The sequence below is a fragment of the Homo sapiens genome, chromosome 22 (genome assembly GCF_000001405.40).
Source record: "Homo sapiens chromosome 22, GRCh38.p14 Primary Assembly".
Classification (NCBI taxonomy): domain Eukaryota; kingdom Metazoa; phylum Chordata; class Mammalia; order Primates; family Hominidae; genus Homo; species Homo sapiens.
The window spans coordinates 20,237,231-20,241,414 of record NC_000022.11 but is presented as its reverse complement, the minus strand read 5'-3'; the positions used below and the strand labels follow the sequence as shown (position 1 = coordinate 20,241,414).

Here is a 4,184-nt window from a genome sequence, read left to right as displayed (position 1 = left end):
GCTGTGGCCTCTCAGGCTAGGGTGCTGTGGGCGGTGAGAAGCAGGGGTGGGTGCTGGACGGGCAGCCTCTCCCCCATCACAAGGCCCCCAGAGGAAGGGAGTTGCCTGGCACCACAGGTGGGACAGCCTTGGCCAAGGGCAGCTCCAATGTCAGGTGCCCCTGGCCCCCCAGCCGCACAGATGGAGCATGCTTGGTGGCTGACGTCGTTGAGCCTGGCTGATGGAGCACATGCCAGGTCCATGGGTCTGGACATAGCAGCCCCTGTGGGGACAGTTGCTCTCGGGCCCCCCACCCCAATCAGGCTGCCCGGGCAGCCCCCAGGAGGAGGCTGAGGATGAGGGACCCTGTTCCTACCCCTGGTGGGTGGCAGGAGAGGAAGGCCCTGAAGGAGAGTTGGGCGGGTCAGGCCTGGCCTCAAGGCCCAGTGGGGGCTGTATGCACCCTCACACCGCTGCTGGTGGTCACACTAGACCCCACATGCGTGTCTGGGGCACCCCCACTTACAGCATGCCCACACCCCAAACATAGGCCGTGGTGGGTCTGCATGTCCCTGCACCCATGTATGCATACACGCATGCACACACAGCAGGGCAGGGAACACATGTCCACACACATGCAGGCACCGGGGGCTCGAGAGCAGCACACGCATCCAGGCAAAAATATGCACAGGCAGAAATATGCACAGGCACGCTTTCCCACGGCCTGGGCCGAAGAGGACTCAGAAACAAAAGGGAAGGGCCACGTGGCCAGGAAGCCTTCCCAGGAAAGGGCCCCCTCCCCGCCAGGGCAGTGGCTGGGGAGGGGGAGAGGGAGAAAAACAGTGACGTGGGGGAGGGTGTGGGGGAGCGTTGCTGGTGAAGCCAGATGGTCGTGGGGGCGGCCGGGGCTCCAGAAGCCTGGGGGGAGGAGAAGGAGGGAGAAGAAGCGGGGAGGACGCGCTTAGCAGCCAAGGCCCCAGCTCCTCCGCCCGCTTCTCTGTGCGTGTGCTGCGGCCCAAGGCTCAGACCCCTCCCATCAAGCACAGGGCAGAGCCAGGATGCAGTGGTCCTGTCTGGCCTGTACCCTCCTCAGGGTCCTCCCACATGTCCTGTCTCTCCTGAGAGACCCTGTGCCTGTGCCCACAGGTGCTGAGGCCCCCCGTGTGGCTGCGCACACCTCCACCTGCAGTTTGCCCCTCTGCTCACCTGAGATCCAGGGCCGGCAGCCTTGCCCCAAGGCTGGGGGCAGCTCAGGCAGGGCAGCCCTGCCGGGGTGGGGTGCTGTTTGCCCAGGGCTCCCTCTGCAGCCCCTCTGGGCCCAGGAGACCCTTGGCAGCCCCAGCAGAGGCCTCTCCATGGATGGCCTGATGTCAAAATGTTGTGCAGTCTCTGTCCTGTGCCTGGAGCTCTACCATCAGCACCCCTGGCACCCCCAGTCTCTGTGACCCCACAGCCAGGCCCAGGATTCTGCCAGGCTGTGCCTGGGCACTGGCATAGGCAGGGTTTTATTCAGTTTTTCTCCCAAGTGGCCCCTGTCATGCCTGAGAAGAGGCAGCTAAACTGCTGGATCTGGGCTAGTGCTCTCAGCTGAGGCTGGGGGCTCCTTGCAGTCAGAGCCAGGAAACCGAAGCCACCCATTTCCAAAGAGCCTTGAGCCCCACCTGAGTGACCCAACTGCAGTGGATGCTGGCGCCCTCAATGGCTTGTGGAAGGACAGCAGATCCTGCCTCAGCTTGCACACCTCCCAGGACAAGGAGTTCATTACCTCTGCTGGGCCCACTCCTAACTAAGAAGCAGGCACCTGTCGCCCTCAGGCCAGCTTCGGGGCTGACTGTCACCACCAGCTGCCCTCAGGGCTCTGCACCCTCCCCTCCAGGCCACAGTGGGGGCCTGTGCAGTGGCAGGGGTGGGGAGTTGGGCACAGTCCAACCAGACCTGAGGACGGGGTGAGAGGATCCGGAAGGAAGTGGACGAGTTTTAAGTTGGACTCAGCAGGATGCATGGACGCTCCCATGGGGTGGAGGCGGCAGGCAGGGCTCCCAGGCCTGAGCAGCCGGCACGGGGCGCCCGTCCCTGAGGTGGGGGCGCCGAGAGGAGCGGCCGCTTTGTCGAGGCCCAGGAGACATCTGGGCGGGGGTGTCGCGTGGGCTGTGCAGGCTGAGCTCAGCAGAGGGGCCCGGCTGGAGGACACATTTGGGAGTCGTGAGCACTTGGGTGATATTTACAGCCCAGGAAGAGATGAGCTCACCGGCCGGCCGCTGCTGACGAGGGGCCCGGAGTGGGCGGGGCGTTGGGCCAGGGCCCAGGGACTCAGCTCCTTCCTGCGCCGACCCCGGCACTCCCCAGCTCTGCCTGACCAGCCCCGGCCGGCTGGGCCCCTGAGGTCAGGTGCTGGACCAGGCAGGGGTTGGGGGTGGCAGCTGGTGTCCAGCCTTGATCACCCAGACCCCAGAGCAGGTGCAGAAAGCTAATTAAAGCTGCGTGAATCAGCCTTGAGGGTATCAAATCCTGGCCCCCACCCCATGCGGGCTGCTGGTCTACCACAGACTCTCCTGGCCCCGTCCAAAGATGCCTGGCCAGCCCCAGGGGGCCCTGTGGACCGAATCCTTCACAGCTCATGGGCCTGTCCCTGTGTTGCAGGCCTAGCCAGGGCAGCACCACCCAGCACAATTGGTGGAGGTGACAGCTGGGGCTGGGCTCACCACTAGGTGGCTGTAGCCGACCTGGGTGGGGGATAGGGGCAAGCAACCCTCAGATGTCGGGCCCAGGCTGGGCTGCTCCTGGGGATTCCTCTCAACCACCCCGACTCCACCCCTGCGGCCCTGGGGGCTGAGCTGCACCAGAGCTGCCCTGCACACCTGTCTGCCCAGGGCTGCAGGAGCAGCCCTGTCCTTGGATGGGAGCGCCTGCCCCCTGTTTATCTGGCTGCCCAGGGCTTTGCCTAGTAATTGGGAGAATTACTTTTTAATCCTTAAATTAGTTCTGAAATAATAGAAGCTGCCGAATGTTCAGCAGCCGATGGTAAACTAACATCCAGCGAGACTGAGAACATGCCGGAAACAAGTTGAGAGGGAGGCAAGTGTTTGTGGTGTGAGCTGGGGCCCGGGGCGGGCCACTGCGGCGGCGGCAGGGGTGGGGGCTCCTCACTGCCGGGCTGCCTGCAGCTCACAGCCTCCCTGGGGTGGTAGGGCACCTCACACTCACATCCCCGCAGGAAGACACTGCTAATGTCCCCAGGGCACAGATGAGGAAACGGAGGCCCAGAGACATGAAGCAACATGTCAGGCAGGATTGGGCCCGAGGCCACGCGGGAGCAGACCCTTCGCTGCCAACTGTGTTTGTGCTCCAGAGTGCTGCTCTGCTTCTCCATCCCAGTGCCCGGGGACATCACAAGACCCTGGGTGTCAATTCCCTCCACTGTGTCAGTCAGCCTAGGGATGTCACTCGGGGTGGCACCCTGAGCTGTGGCACCTCTGTGACTGAGGCAGCTCTGTGTCTGGTCAGCTGGCCTTTGGGCCGCCTCCAGCCACAGTGAGGAGGCCCAGCCCTCAACTCAATTTCCCCCACGTTGCCGGCCTGGTGGCCACCCTCATGCCCAGATTTCTCACTGGTGGCCTTGGCCTCTGTTCTGCCTGGACCCCAGCTGGCTCCTTTCCCACCCTGCTCTGGGCTAGGCCGCTCCGGAGCCCTGCCCTGCAGCCCAGCCCCTGTGTACACCACAGCCTGGGCTTGGCAGGGCTCCCCACATGAGGCCTGGGTGGGAAAAGTGCAATGGCCACTGTCAGCAAAGGGTGTATCTCAGCCCATCCCCCCCCACCCCGCCGGGCACAGCAGCTCAAGGATCCCATTATGCCAAGGCCTTGGAGAGTGGCTGCGATGGGCATGAGCCCAGTGGCCCCCGGAGCCCCACTCCTGTTGGGAGGGTGCATGTGTCGGGGCCCAGGGCTCCCCAGCAGCTGGCCTGACCCCAAAGTGCCAATCCCAGGTCTAGAGGAGGAGCCCCAAACTCCATGGAGGAGGCCGTGGGACTTCTCTGGTTGGTCAGGCTTCTCCAGGGCTGGGGCCTGGTGCTACTGTCTTTTCCTGGGGGAGGTGGGGCTCTGCCAGGGCACACCTCTCCGGAAGCCCCTTCCAGGTGCGTCGCACTCCCCACCTGCCTCTGTCTGCTGCAGGGGAGTCCTGCTCCCAGGGGCAGGGGACCCTTG

General features: G+C 64.3%; 4 annotated features.

Annotated features, from left to right (window-relative positions):
- Window positions 2,304–2,363: a silencer, noted in NCBI's record as "silent region_13484". NCBI's record gives its function as "represses an Ori minimal core promoter by ATAC-STARR-seq in GM12878 lymphoblastoid cells {active_cell/tissue: GM12878}" and the evidence as "EXISTENCE:reporter gene assay evidence [ECO:0000049][PMID:35858748]".
- Window positions 2,575–2,869: a silencer, noted in NCBI's record as "tiled region #11316; HepG2 Repressive DNase matched - State 12:CtcfO, and K562 Repressive DNase unmatched - State 25:Art". NCBI's record gives its function as "represses a minimal TATA promoter and a strong SV40 promoter by Sharpr-MPRA in HepG2 and K562 cells {active_cell/tissue: HepG2 | K562}" and the evidence as "EXISTENCE:reporter gene assay evidence [ECO:0000049][PMID:27701403]".
- Window positions 2,853–3,445: an enhancer, noted in NCBI's record as "H3K4me1 hESC enhancer chr22:20225493-20226085 (GRCh37/hg19 assembly coordinates)". NCBI's record gives its function as "activates a minimal SCP1, AML or CMV promoter by ChIP-STARR-seq in primed H9 embryonic stem cells {active_cell/tissue: H9 hESC(primed)}" and the evidence as "EXISTENCE:reporter gene assay evidence [ECO:0000049][PMID:30033119]".
- Window positions 3,054–3,203: a silencer, noted in NCBI's record as "silent region_13483". NCBI's record gives its function as "represses an Ori minimal core promoter by ATAC-STARR-seq in GM12878 lymphoblastoid cells {active_cell/tissue: GM12878}" and the evidence as "EXISTENCE:reporter gene assay evidence [ECO:0000049][PMID:35858748]".